This window comes from Homo sapiens, chromosome 9 (genome assembly GCF_000001405.40).
Source record: "Homo sapiens chromosome 9, GRCh38.p14 Primary Assembly".
Lineage (NCBI taxonomy): Eukaryota > Metazoa > Chordata > Mammalia > Primates > Hominidae > Homo > Homo sapiens.
This window is the reverse complement of record NC_000009.12, coordinates 15,592,854-15,619,235: the sequence shown is the minus strand read 5'-3', so window position 1 is coordinate 15,619,235 and position 26,382 is coordinate 15,592,854. Positions and strand designations below refer to the sequence as shown.

General features: G+C 39.6%; 1 protein-coding gene across 35 annotated transcripts in view, besides 1 other annotated feature; it reads right to left on the bottom strand.

Annotated features, from left to right (window-relative positions):
* The window catches only part of CCDC171 (coiled-coil domain containing 171), a 556,042-nt gene that overhangs the window by 489,691 nt on the left and 39,969 nt on the right, over window positions 1–26,382 (bottom strand). For 25 of the 35 annotated variants that reach the window (XR_007061261.1, XR_001746227.3, XR_001746228.3 and 22 more), the window contains one exon: window positions 25,064–25,195. The exons of 9 other annotated variants lie outside the window; for them this stretch is intronic. Coding sequence is in view for 21 of the 26 variants with exons in the window: in XM_047422930.1 (XP_047278886.1) it covers window positions 25,064–25,195 (132 nt within the window). In the remaining 5 variants the exon portion in view is untranslated. Of the gene's footprint in view, window positions 1–25,063; window positions 25,196–26,382 lie in introns of those variants that run through there. One more of the 35 variants, XM_017014443.2, reaches the window with a different exon arrangement.
* Window positions 260–759: an enhancer, noted in NCBI's record as "H3K4me1 hESC enhancer chr9:15618475-15618974 (GRCh37/hg19 assembly coordinates)". NCBI's record gives its function as "activates a minimal SCP1, AML or CMV promoter by ChIP-STARR-seq in primed H9 embryonic stem cells {active_cell/tissue: H9 hESC(primed)}" and the evidence as "EXISTENCE:reporter gene assay evidence [ECO:0000049][PMID:30033119]".

Here is a 26,382-nt window from a genome sequence, read left to right as displayed (position 1 = left end):
TTTGATTTAAAATGAAACAGGTGTGAGCCTTCCTTTCACTTGAACACTTAGAGGACACTGTAGAGTTAACTGGCCTCATTTCAACATTGTTGTGTCTCAAGGAGTAGGAAGGCCAGACGAGAGGGAGAGTTGGAAGAACGGCTGGACAGAGGAGTAGTGAGAACACATATATTTATAAATTAAGTACATCACCTTATGCAGGCATGGTTCATGGTGCCCCAAAACAATTACAATAGCAGTAACGTAAAGACCACTGGACAGGGCGGGGAGGGGCCACGATGGCCAAATAGAAACAGCGGCAGTCTGCAGCTCCCAGCGAGACCAACGCAGAAGGTGGGTGATTTCTGCATTTCCAACTGAGGTACACAGTTCATCTCACTGGGACTGGTTAGGCACTGGGTGCAACCCACGGAGAGCAAGCAGAAGCAGGGTGGGGCGTCACTTCACCCTGGAAGTGCAAGGAGCTAGGGCAACTCCCTCCCCCAGCCAGCCAGGGGAAGTGGGGAGGGACTGTGCTACCCGCCCTGAGTACTACGCTTTTCCCATGGATTTTTGCAATCCGCAGATCAGGAGATTCCCTCGTGACCCTATGCCACCAGGGCCCTGTGTTTCAAGCACAAAACTGGGCGGCTGTTTGGGCAGACACCAAGCTGCAGGAGTTTTTTCGTATGCCAGTGGCACCTGGAACTCCAGTGAGAAAGGACAACCGTCCACTCCTCTGGAAAGGGAGCTGAAGCCAGGAACCCAAGAAGTCTAGCTCAGCAGGTCCCACTCCCACGGAGCCTAGCAAGCTAAGAACCACTGGCTTGAAATTCTCACTGCCAGCACAGCAGTCTGGAGTCGACCTGGGATGATCGAGCTTGGTGGGGGAAGCAGCGACCGCCATTACTGAGGCTTTCGTAGGTGGTTTTCTCCTGATAGTGCTAAGGAGACTGGGAGGTTTGGACTGGGCACAGTCACCACAGCAAAGCAAAGTGGCTGTGGCCAGACTGCTTCTCTGGATTCCTCCTCACTGGGCAGGGCATCTCTGCAGGATATGCAGCAGTTCAGTCAGGAGCTTACAGATAAAACTCTCATCCTGGTAGGACAGAGCACCTGGGGGAAGGGGCGGCTGCAGTCGCAGCTTCAGTGGACTTAAATCTTTCCTACCTGTCAGCTCTGAAGACAGCGGCTGATCCTGACAAGGGGGATTCTCCCAGCACAGCGCACCCGCACTCCTAAGGACAGACTGCCTCCTCAAGTGGGTCCCTGACCCCCCTGCCTCCTGACTGGGAGAGACCTCCCAATAGGGATCGACAGACACCTCATATAAGAGAGCTCCAGCTGGCATCAGGCTGCTGCCCCTCTGGGACAAAGCTTCCGGAGGAAGGAGCAGGCAGCAATCTTTGCTGTTCTCCAGCCTCCACTAGTGATACCCAGGCAAACAGGGCCTACAAACTGCAGCAGACCTGCAGAAGTCCAGCAAACTGCAGCAGACCATCAGAAGAGGGGCCTGTTAGAAGAAAAACTAACAAACAGAAAGGAACAACATCAACATCAACATCAAGAACCCCCCCCACAGGCCGGGCGTGGTGGCTCACGCCTGTAATCCCAGCACTTTTGGAGGCCGAGGCGGGTGGATCAGGAGGTCAGGACATCAAGACTATCCTGGCTAACATGGTGAAACCCCGTCTCTACTAAAAATACAAAAAATTAGCCGGGTGTGGTGGCGTGCACCTGTAGTCCCAGCTACTTGGGAGGCTGAGGCAGGAGAATGGCATGAACCCAGGAGGCGGAGCTTGCAGTGAGCCGAGATCACGCCACTGCATTCCAGCCTGGGTGACAGCGCAAGACTCCATCTCAAAAAAAAAAAAAAACCCTCCCACAAAAAGCCCATCCAAAGGTCATCAGCCTCAAAGATCAAAGGTAGATAAATCCACAAAGATAAGGAAAAGTCAGCACAAAAATGCTGAAAATTCCAAAAGCCAGAATAACTTTTCTCCTCCGAATGATCGCAACACCTCTCCAGCAAGGGCACAAAACTGAACAGAGAATGAGATTGAGCAATTGGCAGAAGTAGGCTTCAGAAGGTGGAACAAACTCCTCTGAGCTAAAGGAGCATGTTCTAACACAATGCAAAGAAGCTAAGAACGTTGATAAAAGGTTATTACAGGAACTGCTAACTAGAATAACCAGTATAGAGAGGAACATAAATTCCATGTGACATGCCTGCTCCCCCTTTGCCTTCCACCATTATTGTAAGCTTCCTGAGGCCTCCCCAGAAGCCGAGCAGATGTTAGCACCATGCTTCCTGTAAAGCATACAGAATGATGAGCCAATTAATTAAATCTCTTTCCTTTATAAATTACCCAGTCTCAAGTATTTCTTCATAGCAATGTGAGAATGGCCAAATACAAATAGTATTATGAACAACCTTATGTAATCTCATTTTTTCATAAGAGTACTTTCATATATGAAAGCACTTTTAAGAACATTATGCACTATACTACCTAAGTATAAAAGACTATTATTCTATATGATAGGTCCTCCTCCTTCAATCACTCAATAGCCCCAGTATTAATTCAGTCACTGTTAAATTATATGCCTTCTTAAATTACAAATACATAATCTCCAACTTTCAGTCATTGACTTACATACTTGTCTACTTTAAAGTAAATAAATAGCAATTTACATGGTTAACCATAAACCAAATAATTTGAAATAATAACAAAATGGAGTCTATAACAAAAAGATGCTTATATCCTAGTTGATCGAAACTATTTTATATAGTATTTTATATAGTAAAATAAATAAAATAGTAAAATAAATTATTTAGGAAGTCTCATGAGATTTATTTATAAAAGAAAATCATAGGCCAGGCATAGTGGCTCACTCCTGTAATCCCAGCACTTTGAGGCCAAGGTGGGTAGATCCCTTGAACTCAAGAGTTCAAGACCACACTGGGCAACATGGCAAAACATCATCCCTAAAAAATAAACAGAAATGGCTGGGCGTGGTGGCTCACACCTGTAATCCCAGCACTTTGGGAGGCCAAAGGGGGCAGATCACTTGAGATCAGGAGTTCGAGACCAACCTGGCCAACATGGTGGAAACTTGTCTCTACTAAAAGTACAAAAAATTAGCCAGGTGTGGTGGCACACACCTGTAATCCCAGCTATTCGGGAGGCTGAGGCAAGAGAATCGCTTGAACCCAGGAGGTGGAGGTTACAGTGAGCCAAGATCACACAACTGCACTCCAGCCTGGGCGACAGAGCGAGACTCCATCTCAAAATAATAAATAAATAAACAAAAATTAGCTGGCGTTGTGGCGCATGCCTGTGGTCCCAGTACTTGGAGGGCTGAGGTGGGAGGATCACTTGTGCCTAGGAGGCAGAGGCTGCAGCAAGCTGAGATCATGCCACTGCACTCCAGCCTGGGTGACAGAGTGAGACCCTGTCTGAAGAAAAAAAAAAAAAAAATCACACGTGATTCCCATTTTACTGACAAATCATGTAGAAACACAACACATAATCACTTAAATCCCATTGCAATAAACAAAGAGTATGCCCACTATTCCACCAAGTTTAAATTTAATCCTTTTTTAAAAAAAAGAACCTGGAAAATCAAAGGCCAATCAGTTAGAGCTTATGATGTTTATTTTGGTGATATATTACTATATTACTGCTATGATAGTTGATCTATATTTAATATTACTTGCCAAATGGCTTTTATTTAAGAGTATTTCAAGATTTAGATAAAATTCTGACCTAACAATCACATTTTCAATGCAGAGGTCTGGTAGTCACTTAATATTATATGATAATTTCTATTGTATTCTTGGATATGAATATAAATACACACACAGATATAGACACATACAAACACACAAACATGTTTTCACGGAAAAAGATGTTTTCCTAAAATAGTAGAGATGTTTAGGAATTCTACTCAAGAGTAGAGATACTTAGAAATTCTATATGAAGAAAAGTTATATTACATTAATTAACTGACTACATTGAGTTAGAATTATATTGATTGATTTTCTAATGTTAAACCCGCCTGACATTAATTGTATAAAGTCTTTTATATTTTATCTTTTTAAAATCTTGCTACATTTGGTTAGCTAATATTTTGTATAATATTTTTGCATATATATTCATAACTGAGATTAGCTATAATTATCTTTTCTTCTATCCTTGTCAGTTTGGTATCAAGATTATGCTATCAAGATGTTTCCATTCTGTAGAGGAGTTTACATAAAACTGGAATTATTAGCTCCTTTAATGTTTCTTTTTATTCATTGGTAAAACAATATGGGCCAGCAATTTTGACATTGACTCAATCTATTTAATGATCCATAGTATTCAGCTTTTCTATTTTCTACTTCTTAAGTTAGATGGGGAAGGGGGAAGGATTATATCTAGCCAAACAATCCTATAGTAAAGATCATGGCTGAAAAGCCTCACCCAGACACTCAAAGTTTCTAGGAAACTTTTTAGTCCTTCACTCTTAAAATGAGAAAACATGATATTTTTAAAAATTATCCAACATGAAGATAAAATCTAAATCAAATAATGTTAAAGGGGGAGGGGCAACCTAAGAGAAATGGGTATTTAAAAACAAGAAAACTTCAAAATATCCTCAAAGAACATAAGCAGCTCCAGAATGGGGTAGCACCAAAAATCCTTTCCTTCGTAAAAGCAACAAGAATGCTGGCAAAAATTATCTGAATCTAATTTCTCGTTAACTCTTTAAATTAACCAAAAACTTGCAGTAATCCAAAAAGCATTTATTCAGGGAAATCAATTGAATCTCAATAAGAATAGTGAGATATGTGGCATTTTAACTTGTACTATTCTCATCCCCACCCCACCAGCTCCTGATTGCTTCAAAAATCAATTGCCTCAGAATAGTAGTAGCTTATGGAATCCAGCAGCCTAGCCAGCACTGTGGGGAAGGAGAGAAGAACAGAGTTGGAGCTCCCCAAAAGCCCCAGCCACAGAGAACCAGGCACATATATAGCCTTTGAAAAGCTCTGACATATTCCTGGCATCAGAAAACCATGCAAGTGCAAGTCTATATATAAGCCTAGTCCCTGAGAAGGCCTCAGTCTCTCATCTCTGGCTGACCTTAAGGCTCTGTGCAAGTAGGAAGCAAAGGCTAAGGCAGAGTTTTGATCAGCCCACAAAAGCATTGAATGCATACTCCAACATAAAGAAAGAACCACTCAGCAAAGGCTAGAAGACTTATTTGTTCACGGCATTTAAGAAAATCTTCTGTCCATTCATTAGCTGACCATCTACAAACCAAGTAGAGATTTCATTGGCCACACATGACAAAGAATACACACTTTATAGATTTAGACAGAAAAGTCACAATCAACAATATAAAAAGGTATTCAACATCATTAGTCATTAGAAAAATGCAAATCAAGGTCCAGGCACGGTGGTTCACGCCTGTAATCCCCGCACTTTGGGAGGCCGAGGCGGGCAGATCACAAGGTCAGGAGTTCAAGACCAGCCTGGCCAACATGGTGAAACCCTGTCTCTACTAAAAATACAAAAAAATTAGCCGGGCATGGTGGCGCATGCCTGTAATCCCAGCTACTTGGGAGGCTGAGGCAGGAGAACCGCTTGAACCCAGAAGGCGGAGGCTGCAGTTAGCCAAGACCGTGTCACTGCACTCCAGCCTGGCGACAGAGCGAGACTCCATCTGAAAAAAAAAAAAAAGAAAAGAAAAAAAGAAAAATGCAAATCAAAACCATTTGTTTTTATTAAGCTTTCTTAAATGTATGTATAGATAACATTTATTTCAATGTTTAATATGAGTGTTTTGAGTCTTTATTTAGAAGTTTAGTGATTTTTTTTACCAGAAATATGCTCCAAGAACTTAACTCATTTATATCAATTAACCTATGCTAAAACTGGTTTCATTCTACGTCATTCACTTAAAGTCACAATTCCCAAGAACCTATGAATGATGTTAAATGAGGACTTCTATTTCATGCCACTAAGATGGTTATCATCAAAAAGACTGATGATGACAGGTGATGGCAAAGACGTAGAGAAACTGGAACTCTCAAACATTACTCATACTGTCATTCAGCAGCATTAGAAAACAGTCCGTCAGTTCCTCAAAAAGCTAACCATAAAGTTACTATTTGACCCAGAAATTCTAATACTGAGTATATACCCAAGAGAACAGAAAATCTATGTCAACACAAAAATTTGTATATAGAACCCCCAACAAAACAGTCTATGGCATTTAATAAATCTCAAATAGGCGACAGAGCCTAGGACCACCCACTACATCAGTTGAGTATCTACCATCCTGTCACCATTACATAAACCTGCAGAAAAGTGTTAAGAAATACAGAAGTTCAGTCCTCAAACAGATGTTCAGTGGGAAAAACAAACTAGTAAGACAGGTAAGAACTCCAACTCTTTTTATAAATAGAAGATCAAAATAAAGCCACCAAAGTATCAGGAAATTGCAAAGAATGGCATGGAAACTATGCAAATATGCAAACTATTCAAAAGTAAGAAAAAGAAAAAATAACAAAGGTAGAAATGAACAAAGCACACAAAAGGCAATGTGCCCAACCAAGAAAATAGTCAAAACTCAAGAACAGGGGCACACTCAACACAACAGTTTCACACTACAAAATACTTTTAATACTAAAAACATTTGGTAAAACCAGAATTCAAATATGAGATGAAAAGTGAGACTGCAGTTCTATCAGAAGATCATAAGTTAAAAAGAACACCAAGAGGGGACCACTAAACAGATATGATTAAACATAGCTAATCATCTCTCCTAAAACACCACTTAAATGAAAGTAAAAAATAAAAACAAATGGCAGAAACAATGAATGGTGGAGAAAATGATAGCCAACAAAAGATGTCAGGAGCAAATTTGGAAGACAGAAAGCAAACTGACAAGTGATAATGACTTAGGTTTCAGCTTTTTCATCTTTTCTAAATGCGGAAAAAAAGAGAAGCCTAGTAGCAAGCTGATTTACAGCCACAAAAGCTCAGAATTTGGAGGCACAATGTCTTAGTCCATCCAGCCTGCCATAACAAGATATACCATAAACTAGGCAGTTTATAAAAAACAGAAATGTATTTCTCACAGTTCTGGAAGATGGGAAATACAAGATCAAGGTGTTGGCAGATTCAATGTCTGGCAAGAGCCTACTTTCTAGTTTATAGAGGATGCTTTCTATCTGTGTCCTAACATGGTGGAAGGCAAGAACTCTGGTTCTTCAGTCCCTTATAAAGGCACCAATTCTACTTAAGGTTTCCACCATCAAGACCTAATAATCTCCTGAAGACCCCACCTCCTAATACCATCACAATGGCAATTAGGTTTCAACATACAAATTTAGGAGGGACACAAACATCCAGACCCTAGCAAAACAGCTAACCTTGAAGCCAAGCTATATAGTAAAAATGAATACAGGAGCATTGTTGGAAGCCTCTATAACCAGTACTTTACACTCTCGGGTTGCCTCTGCCAGCTCCCTCCCTGAAAAATCCCCCTCCATATCCTGGTAAAAGGAAGGAGTTTACAAACTAGAGGTTGATCAAAAGAGGTTCTGACGATATGAAAAGCAAACACAACTGGGGGTTGGGGTAAGACACCTTATTAAAAATAAGGAGATTAAGCAACATCTGCATAGTGGGCAGTTAGACCTCACAGCGCCCTGAGCACTGACTCCTACACTCATAGCAATATAAGGAGGAGACGGAAAGATTTCTTTCTAGGGAAACTACCAGGCCAAGAAAAAAGACATCGTAAGGTTCCCTAATTCAATGCAAGGGCTCCACATCCAAAGAGCTTCTTCTCATCTTTTTAGTGCCTCATTCTTAAATATAAACACACAGTCTAGAATCACCGGACATTTGCGGAAAGGTTCTTGTATTAGGCTGTTCCTGCATGGCTATAAAGAAATATGTGAGAATGGGTAATTTATAAAGAAAAGAGGTTTAATAGGCTAACAGTTCTGCAGGCTGTACAGGAAGCATGATGCTGGCATCACTTGGCTTCTGGGGAGGCCTCAGGAAATTTACAATCATGGTAGAAGGTGAAGGGGGAGCAGGCACGTCACATGGCCAGATCAGGAGCAGGAGGAAGGAGGCGCTACACACTTTTAAATGACCAGATCTCGTGGAGCTCATTCACTACTATGAGGATAGTACCAAGAGGAATGGTGCTAAACCATTCATGAGAAATCTGCCCCCATGATCTCCTCCCACCAGGCCCTATTTCCAACACTGGTGATTACATTTCAATATGAGATTTGGGCAGAGACACACATCCAAAATATATCACTTCTCATGTGAAACTCAGAGGCTACTACAAAATGAAGCCAAACACTCAGAGAAAATAAAGACCAGGCCGGGCACAGTGGTTCACACCTGTAATCCCAGGATTTTGGGAGGCCAAGGCGGGATGACCACTTGAGTCCAGGAGTTCAAGACCAGACTGGGCAACACAGTGAGACCCTGTGTCTACAAAGAACAGAAAAAATTAGCCAGGTATGGTCGTGCACACCTGTAGTCCCAGGTATTCGAGAGGCTGAGGTGGGAAGATGGCTTGGGACCAGGAGGTTTTTGTTTTTTTTTTTAGACAGAGTTTCACTCTTGTCACCCAGGCTGGAGTGTAATGGCACCAGCTCGGTTCACTGCAACCTCCGCCTCCCAGGTTCAAGTGATTCTCCTGCCTCAGCCTCCCGAAGTAGCTGGAATTACAGGCACCCACCACCACGCCCAGTTTTTTTTTTTTTTTTTTTTTTTTTTTTTTTTTTTTTAGTTGAGATGGGGTTTCACCATGTTGGCCAGGCTGGTCTTGAACTCCTGATCTCAGGTGATCCACCCGCCTTGGCCTCCCAAAGTGCTGGGATTACAGGCATGAGCCATCGCGCCCAGCCGAGCCCAGGAGGTTTAAGCTGCAGTGAGCCATGATCGAGCCACTGCATTTCCAGCCTTTGCAGCAGAGCAAGATCCAGTCTCAAAAACAAGAAGAAAGAAAAGAAAAGAAGACAAGACCATCAAGGGAGGGGTGGGGGGAGAAACACCTTCAAAATAAGTATGACTTATATCCTCAAAGAGTTAAATTAAGACATTACAAACATGAAACAAGGAGAATATACTAAGAAAGGTATCATCAAATAACAAGAATGAGCTTAGAAATTAAAAACCCAAAAGATGAAATAAAATGTAATAGAAAGGCTGCAATATAAAATTGAGAAAATCTCTCAGAAAATAAGAGTAAAAATATAAAAAGATGGAAAATAGAAGAGATAAGCATTATAAGGATGTCAACTTTATGTCAAAATGATCTATAAATGCAATCCAATTTTAATCAAAATTACAGGAAGGTCTCTTGATGGAATACAATAAGCCATTCCTGAAACTCACATAGGGAAGTAAAAAGCCAAGAATAACCCCTCCCTCACCCCTAAAAAATATTAAGAATAAAGACAGAGGAAAGTTCTCTACCAGATATCAAGACTTATTCTAAAGGTATAATGAATAAAGCAATTTAGTACTGATGCAGAAACAAACATGTAAGTGAAACAGAACAGAGTACCCAAGAACAAAATCTTAGATATAAAAGAACTTGATGTATGATGGAAATGACACTATAAATCAATATGCGGTAAAAGAACAGACAATTGAATAACTAGTACAGGGACACTTGGCTATCTATTTGGAAAAACAAAATTAGATCCCATCTCATGCTATATACGCATTATCTTTATGACTTTGGGTTATCTAAGACAAAACAATCACAACTATAAAAAAATATACTGATAAATTCAACTACATTAAAATTTAAAACTAGGCCAAGTGCGGTGGTTCACGCCTGTAATCCCAGCACTTTGGGAGGCCAAGGCGGGTGGATCACCTGAGGTCAGGAGTTCAAGACCAGCCTGGCCAACATGGTGAAACCCCGTCTCTACTAAAAATAAAAAAAAATAAAAAATTAGCTGGGCATGGTGGCAGGCACCTGTAATCCCAGCTACTCGGGAGGCTGAGGCAGGAGAATCGCTTGAACCCGGGAGGCGGAGGTTGCAGTGAGCCAAGATCACACCACTGCACTCCAGCCTAGATGACAGAGCGAGACTCCGTGTCCAAAAAAAAAAAAAATTTTAAACTGTTCATCATACATAATGTAAATTGCCTCTCTGTCTCTACAAAGAAGAAAAAGATGTTTGCAAAAGGAATATACATAACCAAGGGTTAGTTACTAAATATATTTTTTAAAAAAAAACCACTCTTTTTTTTTTTTTTTTTTTTTTTTTTTTGAGACAGGGTCTTGCTCTGTAGCCCGGGCTGTGATCATAGGACAATGCAGCCTTGACCTCCCAGGCAAAAGCAATCCTCTCACCTCAGCCTCCCTAGTAGCCAGGATCACAGGTATATGCCACTACGCCTGGCTAATATATATACTTTTTTTTTTTTTTCATAGAGAGAGTGTCTCTGTTGCCCAGGCTGGTCTCGAACTCCTGGGCTCAAGCAATTCTCCCACCTCAGACTCCTAAAATGCTAGGATTACAGGCAGGAGCCACCACCCCCAGCCAAAAGTTCCTATTAATCAATAAAAATATACCCAAAAATCCAAAAGAAAAAAGGCAAAAAATATAAGCTGGCACTTCACAAAAAAGAAATGTGAATGGCCAATAAACGTAACATGGTCAATGTCAAGGAAGTGGAAATTTAAGCAAGAATGAGATACAATTTCACACATATCCTATTTCAAAAGAAATTAAATCTGAAAAATACCAAGAGGCTGTAAAGGAAGAGAAACTCTTCTTTGAAATTGTTACACCCACTTAAGAGAACAATTTGGCACATATTTTATACGCACTAAATACATACCCACATAAAAAGATGTGATGTTCATGGAATCACTGTCTGTAATAATTTAAACTTGCAAAGAACTTAAATCTCAATGTCAGTGTTATGGTTTGAATGTGTGTCCCTTCCAAAACTCATGTTGAAATGTAATCCCCCATGTGACAGTTTTGAGAAGTGGGGCCTTTAAGAGAGGACTGGGTCATGACAGCTCTGCCCTTGTGAATGGGTTAATCCAATCATGGATTAATGGGTTAATGGGTTATCATGGCAGTAGAACTGGTGGCTTTACAAGAAGAGAAAGAGAGACCTGAGCTGGCACACTCAGCCCACCAGCATGCAATGCCCTGTGCAGCCTTGGACCTCTGCAGAGTTCCCATCAGCAAGAAGGCCATCGTCAGATGCAGTCCCTTGACATTAGATGTCTCAGCCTCCAGAACTGCAAGAATAAATTCTTTTTCTTTATAAATTAACCAGCTTCATATATTCTGTTATAAACAACAGAAAATGGACAAGGCAGTCAGGTAATGAGTAAATTATGGCACACGCACAAGATAAAATATTATACAGCAGTTAAACTGAATGAACAGAAGCTATTTTATTAACTTTAACAAACCTCAAAAATACAAGCAGGCCAGGCATGGTGGCTCACACTTGCAATACCAGCACTTTGATAGGCCAAGGCGGGTGGATCACTGGAGCTCAGGAGTTCAAGAATAGATTGGCCAACATGGCGAAACCCCGTCTCTACTAAAAAATGCAAAAATTAGCCAGGTGTGGTGACACGTGCCTGTGGTCTCAGCTACTCAGGAGGCTGAGGTGGGAGGATTGCTTGAGCCCAGGAGGCAGAGGTTGCAGTGAACCAAGATCGCGCCACTGCACTCCAGCCTGGGTGACAGAGTGAGACCCTGTCTAAAAGAAAAAAAAAAGTGAAAAATATAAGTTTGACAAAGAAGCATCCTGTATGATATTCTAATATATATCCTAAAACAAAAATACTAAAATAATACAATATACTGTCAATGTATACAGACAGAAAATTAAACACCAACTTCAGAATGGCAGTTATTCTTTTGGGGCTGAAGTTGTGGCAGGATGGGGAAGTGACTCAGAATTGTCTTCAATGATATAACAATTTACTGTTTGTTTCCAGTTCCAGTAAACATAACACACACTAACATGATCTAGGTAGCATTTGTTACATTAATGGTATTGCTGGGTTATATTGGGCATTGAGTATATATAAATCCCTGGGGGGGTTGTATGTTCAAATATTTGCTTTAAGTTTATGGCTTTATCAATATCATCCAATCCTGAGATGCAATGTAACACTCAAGAAAATCCAAAAAAACTACAAAAATACCTCATGCAATTTACAGAAAAACTTGCCTTCATCCCAAATAAATGTAACTTTAAAATTTTTGTTACAGAACATATTTTCCAATCACACCAAAAGCTACCTGCATCTTTATTATGTGTGTCTGTGTGTGTGAAATAAAATCATATTAAGGACACTGGAAATTGAGGGAAGTTCTTCTTTTTTCCACTAGAGGGGGCTGTTGAACTTAAAATATTTTAAAATGAGGCTTGTTTTTGAACTGACATTTAATATCACAGGAAACTACATTTGGCTGTTAGAAAATAAACTTGCTTTCTTTCCACATCTTCCAGAAACGTAGCCCAAAAAGTATAATTCTTTATATATACTCATATAAACAACATTTCTCAGAATCCAAAATACAGTTCCGTTCCAATTCTGAAGAATTACACTAGTTAGAAAAGTATCAGAGTTAAATGTACTCCTCTTTTCTAGCTTATAAAATATATCAATATAGCTAACTACAACCTTAATCTATTACATTATTATCTCCTGAAAGACCCAGAACAAGTTCCTCCTCTCTAAGTCCCCAAGGCTAGCAAAGTTCTACAATTACAAAGTGTTTGTTGCTATAGAGCATAAACTGGTGCTTTGTATAACATTTATCATAATTGTGAATCCATAAGCTTGAAAATGAAACAATTATATTTCTAGGCATTTACACGAAGAATCATTTGTATGACTGCTCAAAGATATGGACAAGAATGTTAGTGAATCATTAATTAGAGCTAAAAATTTTGAAAGAAATAAAATGTGCATCAATAAGAGATTACTGAAATACAATATTCCCTCTTATCTGCGGTTTCATCTTCCCTTTCAGTTACCCTGAGTCAACCTAGGTCCAAAAATAAGTGAATACAGTACAATAAGATATTTAGAGTGGGAGAAAGACCACATTCACATTACTTTTATTATAGTATCTTGTTATGATGGTTCTATTATTAGTTACATCGTTAATCTCTTACTGCGCCTAATTTATAAATTAAACGTTATCATAGGTATGTGTGTGTATAGAAAAAAACACAGCATATCTGCAGTTTCAGGCATCCACTGGTGTCATGTAACATATGCCCCACAGGTAAGGGAAAGGCTACAGTATGTTAGGAAAATCCACATGACAGAATGCCATGCAAATACTAAAAGAATAAGGTATGAACATCAAAAGATGGAGGCAAAATATTATTGAGGTGTATCATTTTATTTATGTAAAAACGTAATGCTTCTATATCCTGACATGAGGAGCGAAATCAGAGGTGAAAGGGGCAAGACCCTTACTTTCTTGCTTTTAAATTTCCCTAAATTAGGGACTTTTTTTTTTCTTTTTTTTTTTTTGACAGAGTCTCGCTCTGTCGCCCAGGCTGGAGTGCAGTGGTGCGACCTTGGCTCACTGCAACCTCCACCTCCTGGGTTCAAGCGATTCTCCTGCCTCAGCCTCCTGAGTAGCTGGGATTACAGGTGCGTGCCACTACTCCCGGCTAATTTTTTTTTTTTTTTTTTTTTTAGTAGAGACAGGGTTTCACAGTGTTGGCCAGGATGGTCTCAATCTCCTGACCTCATGATCTGCCCGCCTCAGCCTCCCAAAGTGCTGGGATTACAAGCATGAGCCACTCTGCCCGGCCAAATTAGGGGCATTTTTATAACAAAGTTATCAGTGTCAGAGTCCTTTTCTATGCCATTTGTTAATAGGATACCAGTACATAGTTTTCCAGAAGAAAAGAAATGCTCCTTGCTGCCCTTGATTATTTAAGGTAAACTTCCTTAAGGTGTTTACCTGTCATACATGTCAACATATGTTAATGTGTTACATAAATAAAATTATAAGCCAGGTGTGGTGGCTCACTCCTGTAATCTCAATACTTTGGGAGACTGAGGCAGAAGGATCACTTGAGCCCAGGAATTCAAGACCAGCCTAGGCAACAAAGGAAGACCCCCATCTCTACAAAAATTTTAAAAATTAACCAGGCTTCGTGGCACATGCTTATGGTCCCAGATACAAAGGAGGCTGAGGTAGGCAAAGGCTGCAGTGAGCTGTGATAGTCCCGCTGCACTCCAACATGGGCAACAGAGTGAGACCTTGTCTCAAAAATATAAAATAATAAAACAAAATAAAATTATATTCCTAATATTTTGCATCCATCTGTTGATGTTCATATCTTATTTCTGTGTGTATTTGCATACTATTCTGTTACGTGGATATTCCTAAAAACACTTTCTTTTCACGTAACTTCCTCCGAGTTGTCACTACATCACAATCATACTTACTGGGTCAGCTTTTGATATGTTGCACCCCAATCCCTGGATTGTCTTAAGGCCTATCAGACCATGCCTACTAAGGGTGGTCTGATAACTTTCTTCACTGCCTCCCTACTCTTCCTCCTCTTTCTATAGTTCATGGAATTATTTTCAAGCTACACTTCCCATACCGTCACAAACTCCCCCATGCTTCAATCACTAGACACATACACCAAATTTAGTCGATGAATAAGGAAAGGATAACTGTATTCCCTGGTTGAGGTATAGAATTTTGGAAATGAAATAAAAATGAAAACATATATATTCATCTTCTAAATGTTTTCAATCCCACTGATAAAGTATACGTGAAATTAACTGGAAAAATAACAAAGGAGGGGCATGATAGTTTAGAAACAAAGCTTTATCACTGCCTGTCCCACAATAGAAAAGCTTGTGGCAGGGCAAAGATTTCATGACAAACTCACCATAAGCAATTGCAACAGAAGCAAAAATTGACAAATGGGATCTAATTAAAAACTTAAGAGCTTCTGCACAGCAAAATAAACTATCATCAGAGCAAACAGGCAACCTACAGAATGGGAGAAAATTTCTGCAATCTATCCATCTGACAAAGGTCTAACATCCAGAATCTACAAGGAAATTAAACAAATCTACAAGAAAAAAAAAAACCATCAAAAAGTGGGCAAAGGACATAAACAGACACTTCTCAAAAAAAAAGACATACATGCAGCCAACAAACATGAAAAAAAGCTCAACATCACTGATCATCAGAGAAATGCAAGTCAAAATCACAATGAGATACCATCTCAGGCCAGTCAGAATGGCAATTATTAAAAAGCCAAGAAACAACAGATGCTGGCAAGGTTGCAGTGAAAGAGGAATGCTTTTACAGTGTTGGTGGGAATGTAAATTACTTCAACCATTGTGGAAGACAGTGTGGCAATTCCTCAAAGATCTAGAACCAGAAATACCATTTGACCCAGCAATCCCATTAATAGGTATATACCCAAAGGAATATAAATCATTCTACTATAAAGACACATGCACATGTATGCTCATTGCAGCACTATTCACAATAGCAAAGAGATGGAATCAACCCAAATGCCCATCGATGATAGGCTGGATAAAGAAAATGTGGTATATATACACCATAGAATACTATGCAGCCATAAATGAATGAAATCATGTCTTTTGCAGGGACATGGATAGAGCTGGAAGCCATTATCCTCAGCAAACTAATGCAGGGACAGAAAACGAAATACCGCATGTTCTCACTTGTAAGTGGGAACTGAACAATGAGAACACATGGACACAGGGAGGGGAACAACACACACTGGGGCCTGTCAAGGGTGGAGTGAAGGGAGGGAGAGCATTAGAAAAAACAGCTATGCAAGCTGAGCTTAATACCTAGGTGATGGGTTGACAGGAGCAGCAAACCACCATGGCACATGTGTACCTATGTAACTAACCTGCACATCCTGCATATGTACCCAAAAACTTAAAATAAATCCCAGCACTCTGGGAGGCTGAGGCGGGAAGATCACAAGGTCAGGAGATCGAAACCATCCTGGCTAACACGGTGAAACCCTGTCTCTACTAAAAATACAAAAAAAACTTAGCTGGGCGTGGTGACGGGCGCCTGTAGGCCCAGCCACTCGGGAGGCTGAGGCAGGAGAATAGCATGAACCCAGGAGGTGGAGGTTGCAGTGAGCCAAGATCGCGCCACTGCACTCCAATCTGGGTGACAGAGTGAGACTCCGTCTCAAAAAAATACATAAATAAATAAAAATTAAAAAAATTAAATAAGGCTAGGCGAGATGGCTCACGCCTGTAATCTCAGCACTTTGGGAGGCCGAGGCAGGCAGATCGCCTGAGGTCAGGAGTTTGAAACCAGCCTTGCCAACCTGGCAAAACTCCGTCTCTACTAAAAATACAAAAATTAGCTGGGCATGGTGGTGCGTGCCTGTAATCCCAGCTACTCAGGAGACTGAGGCAGGAGAATCGCTTAAACCCGGGAGGCGGAGAGGTTGCAGTGAGCCGAGATCACATCACTGCACTCCAGCCTGGACAACACAGAGAGACTCTGTATCAAAAAAAAAAAAAAAAAAAAAAAAAAGAAAAAAAAAAAAAAGAAATGAGAAACACTATCTTAAAATGAGGTAACTTTTTGGGTAACACCAATAAGAATTCACTCATGTTAATATTCCAGAGAAGGACACCTCTATTTAGTGCTCCAATCTCCAAGAAAGAAAAAGAATATGGCATAAAATTGAGATTTTCTTTTTATGGTGGGTCTGAATTCTAAAGCCCAGATGAGAGAAATATTATAACAAGTTTTGTCTATTAAAGATGGGGTTTCACTGAGAAGGTTTAAAAATAACTTATTTAAAAAACTGAATTCTCTTAGAGAGCTACACAAAGAGAACACTATGAGATACTAACACCTAATTATAGTATGTAAAACTAAACCCATCAACAGCCAACAGAGAAGAAAATTTCACTCTATCCCTCAGGTTGTTTTTAAAAAACTTTTTTTAACATAAAGTCACAACAGTTTCTTAAGATTGATGTATAAAAGGAAAAGCTATTTTCTTTTGTTAATTAAAAAAAGGACAAGAAATTGAGAAACAGAGTTCTAAACATTCCAGTTACAAATTACAGTAAAATTTACCTTACAAAAGCAGCAAAGCAAGTTACTGTTCGTAGTAACTAGGGAGCATATTCCCACATTTTTCTGTACACCTCATAATGAAAGACAGATGCCTAATTTTAAATTCTTTTAGTACTTCACATATAAACTTTGGTATAACCACAATGTTTCATTTAGGATTTACAGGACTGATCTGGAAATGAGACCAAAATCACATCATCCACATATTTATACACAGGCCTTTGAATTATATTTTATAAATTTAGACCTCTGGCTGAGTGTTTAGAAATAAAAGAGCTATTTTAATTTACTTTATTTTGCTTGTTTATTCCAAGTAGCCTTTAAGACACTTATCAACAACTTAAATATCCTGTAGGCTCTGCAAAGTCTTCCTTAGTCTCCCAGACAGCTAATCAACTTCTCTTCTGTGGCACTACAGCATTTTATTTAAAATTTTATCAAACAATATTTTCTCCCTTTACATGTCTCTGCGCTGAAATATCTTCGAGGACAGAAACCAGGTCTTAATCAGTTTTACAGCCTCAGTATCCAGAGCAGTAACTCAGTAAGTACTTAGAGAATGAATGAACGAGTAAATGAACTAATGAACTAATTAACTACACAAACTACAAACAGAATACAAGAGGTCTAAAGCGTGGTTGTACTGTCCTTCCAGATTCTACAGAAGAGGTAATGGGAAGAAAAGCACTGCACAAAGACTGAAGGTTTGGAAAAGCTGTGGTTTCATTGGTATTTTCAATAATGACATATATAACAAATTCAGAATTTCCAATGTTCACTACCAGCTTTTACTCTCAAAAAAATGAAGTGGCTGTGGAGCCAAGATGGCCAAATAGGAACAGCTCCAGTCTACAGCTCCCAGCAAGAGCGATGCAAAAGACGAATGATTTCTGCATTTCCAACTCAGGTACCGGGTTCATCTCACTGAGGATTGTCAGAGAGTGGGTGCAGGACAGTGGGTGCAGTGCACTGAGCGTGAGTCGAAGCAGGGCGAGGCATCGCCTCCCCCAGGAGGCACAAGGGGTCAGGGAATTCCCTTTCCTAGCCAAGGAAAGGGGTGACAGATGGCACCTGTAAATCGGGTCACTCCCACCCTAATACTGCACTTTTCCAACAGTCTTAGCAAACGGCACACCAGGAGATTGTATCCCGCGCTTGGCTCGGAGGGTCCTACACCCATGGAGCCTCGCTCACTGCTACCACAGCAGTGTGAAATCCAACTGCAAGGTGGCAGCGAGGCTGGGGGAGGGACGCCCGCCATTGTGGAGGCTTGAGTAGGTAAACAAAGTGGCCGGGAAGCTCGAAATGGGTGGAGCCCACCGCAGCTCAAGGAGGCCTGCCTGCCTCTGTAGACTCCACCTCTGGGGGCAGGGCATAGCCAAACAAAAGGCAGCAGAAACCTCTGCAGACTTAAATGTCCCTGTCTGACAGCTTTGAAGAGAGTAGCAGTTCTCCCAGCATGCAGCTGGAGATCTGAGAACAGACAGACTGCATCCTCAAGTGGGTCCCGGACCCCCGAGTAGCCTAACTGGGAGGCACCCCTGAGTAGGGGCAGACTGACACCTCACACGGCCGGGTACTCCTCTGCGACAAAACTTCCAGAAGAACAATCAGGCAGCAACATTGGCTGTTCACCAATATCTGCTGTTCTGCAGCCTCTACTGCTGATACCCAGGCAAACAGGGTCTGGAGTGGACCTCCAGCAAACTCCAACAGACCTTCAGCTAAGGGTCCTGACTGTTAGAAGGAAAACTAACAAACAGAAAGGACACCCACACCAAAACCCCATCTGTACATCACCATCATCAAAGATCACAAGTAGATAAAACCACAAAGATGGGGAAAAAACAGAGCAGAAAAATGGAAACTCTAAAAATCAGAGTGCCTCTCCCCCTCTAAAGGAACACAGCTCCTCACCAGCAAAAGACCAAAGCTGGATGGAGAATGACTGACGAGTTGAGAGAAGAAGGCTTCAGACAATCAAACTACTCCGAGCTAAAGGAGGAAGTTCGAACCCATGGCAAAGAAGATGAAAAAAGATTAGACGAATGGCTAACTAGAATAGCCAATGCAGAGAAGTCCTTAAAGGACCTGACGGAGCTGAAAACCATGGCAAGAGAACTATGTGACGAATGCACAAGCTTCAGTAGCCGATTCGATCAACTGGAAGAAAGGGTATCAGTGATGGAAGATCAAATGAATGAAATGAAGTGAGAAGAGAAGTTTAGAGAAAAAAGAGTAAAAAGAAACAAAGAAAGTCTCCAAGAAATATGGGGCTATGTGAAAAGACCAAATCTACGTCTGATGGGTGTACCTGAAAGTGACGGGCAGAATGGAACCAAGTGGAGAACACTCTGCAGGATATTATCCAGGAGAACTTCCCCAATCTAGCAAGGCAGGCCAACATTCAGATTCAAGAAATACAGAAAATGCCACAAAGATACTCCTCGAAAGGAGCAACTCCAAGACACATAATTGTCAGATTCACCAAAGTTGAAATGAAGGAAAAAATGTTAAGGGCAGCCAGACAGAAAGGTTGGGTGACCCACAAATGGAAGCCCATCAGACTAACAGCGGATCTCTCGGCAGAAAATCTACAAGCCAGGAGAGAGTGGGGGCCAATATTCAACATTCTTGAAGAAAAGAATTTTCAACCCAGAATTTCATATCCAGCCAAACTAAGCTTCATAAGTGAAGGAGAAATAAAATACTTTACAGACAAGCAAATGCTGAGAGATTTGGTCACCACCAGGCCTGCCCTAAAAGAGCTCCTGAAGGAAGCACTAAACATGGAAAGGAACAACCAATAACAGCCACTGCCAAAACATGCCAAATCGTAAAGACCATCAAGGCTAGGAAGAAACTGCATCAACTAATGAGCAAAATAACCAGCTAATATTATAATGACAGGATCAAATTCACACATAACAACGTTAATCTTAAATGTAAATGGGCTAAATGCTCCAATTAAAAGACACACACTGGCAAATTGGATAAAGAGTCAAGGCCCATCAGCGTGCTGTATTCAGGAGACCCATCTCACATGCAGAGACACACATAGGCTCAAAATAAAGCGATGGAGGAAGATCCACCAAGCAAATGGAAAACAAAAAAGGCAGGGGTTGCAATCCTAGTCTCTGATAAAACAGACTTTAAGCCAACAAAGATCAAAAGAGACAAAGAAGGCCATTACATAATGGTAAAGGGATCAATTCAACAAGAAGAGCTAACTATCCTAAATATATATGCACCCAATACAGGAGCACCCAGATTCATAAAGGAAGTCCTTAGAGACCTACAAAAGGACTTAGACTCCCACACAATAATAATGGGAGACTTTAACACCCCACTGTCAACATTAGACAGATCAATGAGACAGAAAGTTAACAAGGATATCCAGGAATTGAACTCAGCTCTGCACCAAGTGGACCTAATAGACATCTACAGAACTCTCCACACCAAATCAACAGAATACAAATTCTTTTCAGCACCACACCACACCTATTCCAAAATTGACCACATAGTTGGAAGTAAAGCACTCCTCAGCAAATGTAAAAGAACAGAAATTATAACAAACTGTCTCTCAGACCACACTGCAATCAAACTAGAACTCAGGATTAAGAAACTCACTCAAAACCGCTCAACTACATGGAAACTGAACAACCTACTCCTGAATGACTGCTGGGTACATAATGAAATGAAGGCAGAAAAAAAGATGTTCTTTGAAACCAACGAGAACAAAGACACAACATACCAGAATCTCTGGGACACATTCAAACCAGTGTATAGAGGGAAATTTACAGCACTAAATGCCCACAAGAGAAAGCAGGAAAGATCTAAAATTGACACCCTAACATCACAATTAAAAGAACTAGAGAAGCAAGAGCAAACACATTCAAAAGCTAGAAGAAGGCAAGAAATAACTAAGATCAGAAGAGAACTGAAGGAAATAGAGACACAAAAAACCCTTCAAAAAATCAATGAATCCAGGAGGTGGTTTTTTGAAAAGATCAACAAAATTGATAGACCGCTAGCAAGACTAATCATAAAGAAGAAAAGAGAGAAGAATCAAATAGACACAATAAAAAATCATAAAGGGGATATCACCACCGATCCCACAAAAATACAGACTACCATCAGAGAATACTATAAACACCTCTATGCAAATAAACTAGAAAATCTAGAAGAAATGGAAGAATTCCTGGACACATACACCCTCCCAAGACTAAACCAGGAAGAAGTTGAATCTCTGAGTAAACCAATAACAGGCTCTGAAATTGAGGCAATAATTAATAGCTTACCAACCAAAAAAAGTCCAGAACCAGATGGATTCACAGCCGAATTCTACCAGAGGTACAAGGAGGAGCTGGTACCATTCCTTCTGAAACTATTCCAATCAATAGAAAAAGAGGGAATCCTCCCTAACTCATTTTATGAGGCCAGCATCATCCTGATAGGAAAGCCTGGCAGAGACACAACAAAAAAAGAGAATTTTAGACCAATATCCCTGATGAACATCAATGCAAAAATCCTCAAAAAAATACTGGCAAACTGAATCCAGCAGCACACCAAAAAGCTTATCCACCATGATCAAGTAGGCTTCATCCCCGGAATGCAAGGCTGGTTCAACATATGCAAATCAATAAACGTAATCCATCACATAAACAGAACCAAAGACAAAAACCACATATTATCTCAATAAATGCAGAAAAGGCCTTTGACAAAATTCAGCAACCCTTCATGCTAAAAACTCTCAATAAATTAGCTATTGATGGGACGTATCTCAAAATAATAAGAGCTCTTTATGACAAACCCACAGCCAATATCATACTGAATGGGCAAAAACTGGAAGCATTCCCTTTGAAAACTGGCACAAGACAGGGATGCCCCCTCTCACTACTCCCATTCAACATAGTGTTGGAAGTTCTGGCCAGGGCAATCGGGCAGGAGAAGGAAATAAAGGGTATTCAATTAGGAAAAGAGGAAGTCAAATTGTCCCTGTTTGCAGATGACATGATTGTATAACTAGAAAACCCCATCGTCTCAGCCCAAAATCTCCTTAAGCTGATAAGCAACTTCAGCAAAGTCTCAGGATACAAAATCAATGTGCAAAAATCACAAGCATTCTTATACACCAATAACAGACAAACAGGGAGCCAAATCATCAGTGAACTCTCATTCACAATTGCTTCAAAGAGAATAAAATACCTAGGAATCCAACTTACAAGGGATGTGAAGAACCTCTTCAAGGAGAACTACAAACCACTGCTCAACAAAATAAAAGAGGATACAAACAAATGGAAGAACATTCCATGCTCATGGGTAGGAAGAATCAATATCGTGAAAATGGCCATACTGCCCAAGGTAATTTATAGATTCAATGCCATCCCCATCAAGCTACCAATGACTTTCTTCACAGAATTGGAAAAAACTACTTTAAAGTTCATATGGAACCAAAAAAGAGCCCACATTGCCAAGTCAATCCTAAGCCAAAAGAACAAAGCTGGAGGCATCACGCTACCTGACTTCAAACTATACTACAAGGCTACAGTAACCAAAACAGCATGGTACTGGTACCAAAATAGAGATATAGACCAATGGAACAGAACAGAGCCCTCAGAAATAATAGCACACATCTACAACCATCTGATCTTTGACAAACCTGACAAAAACAAGAAATGGGGAAAGGATTCCCTATTTAATAAATGGTGCTGGGAAAACTGGCTAGCCATATGTAGAAAGCTGAAACTGGATCCCTTCCTTACACCTTATACAAAAATTAATTCAAGATGGATTAAAGACTTAAATGTTAGACCTGAAACCATAAAAACCCTAGAAGAAAACCTAGGCAATACCATTCAGGACATAGGCATGGGCAAGGACTTCATGTCTAAAACACCAAAACCAATGGCAACAAAAGCCAAAATTGACAAATGGGATCTAATTAAACTAAAGAGCTCCTACACAGCAAAAGAAACTACCATCAGAGTGAACAGGCAACCTACAGAATGGGAGAAAATTTTTGCAATCTACTCATCTGACAAAGGGCTAATATCCAGAATCTACAAAGAACTCAAACAAATTTACAGGAAAAAAACAACCCCATCAACAAGTGGGCGAAGGATATGAACAGACACTTCTCAAAAGAAGACATTTCTGCAGCCAAAAGACACATGAAAAAATGCTCATCATCACTGGCCATCAGAGAAATGCAAATCAAAACCACAATGAGGTACCTATCTCACACCAGTTAGAATGGCAATCATTAAAAAGTCAGGAAACAACAGGTGCTAGAGAGGATGTGGAGAAATAGGAACACTTTTAACTGTTGGTGGGACTGTAAACTAGCTCAATCATTGTGGAAGTCAGTGTGGCAATTCCTCAGGGATCTAGAACTAGAAATACCATTTGACCCAGCCATCCCATTACTGGGTATATACCAAAGGATTATAAATCATGTTGCTATAAAGACACATGCAGATGTATGTTTCTTGAGGCACTATTCACAATAGCAAAGACTTGGAACCAACCCAAATGTCCAACAATGATAGACTGGATTAAGAAAATGCAGCACATATACACCATGGAATACTATGCAGCCATAAAAAAGGATAAGTTCATGTCCTCTGTAGGGACATGGATGAAGCTGGAAACCATCATTCTCAGCAAACTATCGCAAGGAGAAAAAACCAAACACCACATGTTCTCACTCATAGGTGGGAATTGAACAGTGAGAACACATGGACACAGGAAGGGGAACATCACACACCAGGGCCTGTTGTGGGGTCAGGGGAGCGGGGAGGGATAGCATTAGGATATATACCTAATGTTAAATGACAAGTTAATGGGTGCAGCACACCAACATGGCACATGTATACATATGAAACAAACCTGCACGCTGTGCACATGTACCCTAAAACTTAAAGTATAATTAAAAAAAAAAATTAAGTGGCTTCTATTCTCTGCATATTTTTGGTCAACTTCTGTGTTACAAAGTTGTTTGTGAGACATAATTACTCCAAAATGTATTATATGTGGATATTTTTCATTCTTGTGAAAAATGCATATCTTTGACATCTATAGAAAGGTTATTTCAATTTGTCATTCTGTGTCGAAAAAATACATAAAACACATTGTGTTATCACAAAATAACTAGAAGATGTGCTGAAAATGTATTTGAAGTTTTAAGTTAGTTGATTCATGGGTTTTTTTCTTAAAGAGGATTACCTTCACAAATTTCCTTTAAAACACACAACACACTAGTTTGAGTTTCTCCTACCTCTCCTTCAAAATAAATACATATAATCTCCTGAAAAAATGCAAAGTACACTGGAGTGAGAATTCAGAGACCTGCAGCCTTTTCCCAGATTAATCATTCAGTCTATAACCTAAGTCAGTAACTTCCAAATCTCCATCTGCTCATGTATAAAGGGGATTAGATGTAATCAGTAATTTTCAAATTGGACTATAGAAGCCTCGGGGATTCTGCGTATTTCAGGGGTGGAGGAATAGAGGATAATTAAGAATTTGTACTTCTTAAAAAGAGTTCAAAAATTACTACACTATATGATTTGTAAGGATTCTTTAACATCCAGAATCCTATTATTCTATTTCTTTGTCCTATTCAAAACAGCTATTAGTCTCAAATTTTAAATTGGAAAAATAAAATACCAAATATATATACATCCTTCTTAAAAATCACATAAGGTATGCAATGGAAATCACTGAACTCTAAACACTAATGGTATCTGTTGGTAACAGTTGCCCTATTGTCATGTAACAGCAAATGAAATGTGGCCTTCCAGAATCAAAACTAGAAATTATTTTCCCTTTGAGCGAGTCAGTTATCCCACTAATGTAATTTTGAATATCATAAGCATTAAAAATATATATTTAAGGAACTGATTATTTTTAAAATACCTGTACTATAAATTGTAATTCTCTTCTTTCTGCTTCCCATTGTTCTTCTTGTAATCTAAACTCCTCCAATGCTGTCTCCCTGATATGAGACTCCATCTCATTCTTCTCCCGTTGATGTTTTTCCAACGCTTCCTTTATATAAATAAAATCTTGCTTTACTGTTAGATCAATAAAAGTTATCTTCCTTCATCCCCAGTTTAAATGTACAAAGAGGCTCTCCTTACCTATAGATGTTAAAACTCATCATAATTCATGTTAAAATCATTAATAAAACTATAATTTGATCAATAGAATGTAGATCTGAGAAACTATGTTTATTTAAACAACAGATTATACCTTGTTTATATAGGCATATATTTACCTATTACCTATATATAATATGTATATATAAGCAACAGGCTGTATATACCTGTTTATTATATAGGGATATATTTGACCCAATTTTTCTGAAAAATGTTAACTTCAGAGGTTTGAACAAAATATCAATATATGATATCATATGATAGATATAAACAAAGTAGATTCCATTTAATATGGAAATCTCTACCTGTGATCAAAACATTTGGATTATCCCTGATAATTTATATATAAATTTGACACGAGCAATGTATTTCCAAAAGGGAAAAAGGGGCAAAGAAAAGAATTCTGTGCAACAAATTAGGATAAGGAAACTCTAGAATGTTAAAAATTTGAAAAGCAAAAAAACAAGAAATTTAAGTATGGACTTTAATTTCTAGTTCTATAGATAAACAATACTTGAAAAAATGCTTTCCTTTTGGGTTTTCTGAGGTGTACTGCAAGATCTAATTCGGTTTAGTATCTTAAAAACATAAAATGCAATTTGCTGAGAAGCCCAATTTTCTAACTATAGGGTTTAAAATTAAGTTCCCATTAACAGAAGAAAAAGTCTATAGTTTACATGCGAGAGAAAGAAAGCCTCTCATGTCCACACAATGGTAGCATGGATCTGTATAACAAATACTACCCTCCTAACTTATAGAAAGAAAGCTTTCACAAAGAGCCTTGAGGCTTTTTTTTCCCCCAAGGGCTAAATAGTGACTCAGATTCAACTCCAAACTGTCCCAAGGGTCTCTGTGCAGATTAGTGAAGGGGAACATCACACTCTGGGGACTGTTGTGGGGTGGGGGAGTGGGGAGGGATAGCATTAGGAGATATACCTAATGCTAAATGACAAGTTAATGGGTGCAGCACACCAGCATGGCACATGTATACATATGTAACTAACCTGCACATTGTGCACATGTACCCTAAAGCTTAAAGTATAATAATAATAAAAATAAAAATAAAAACAAAAAAAG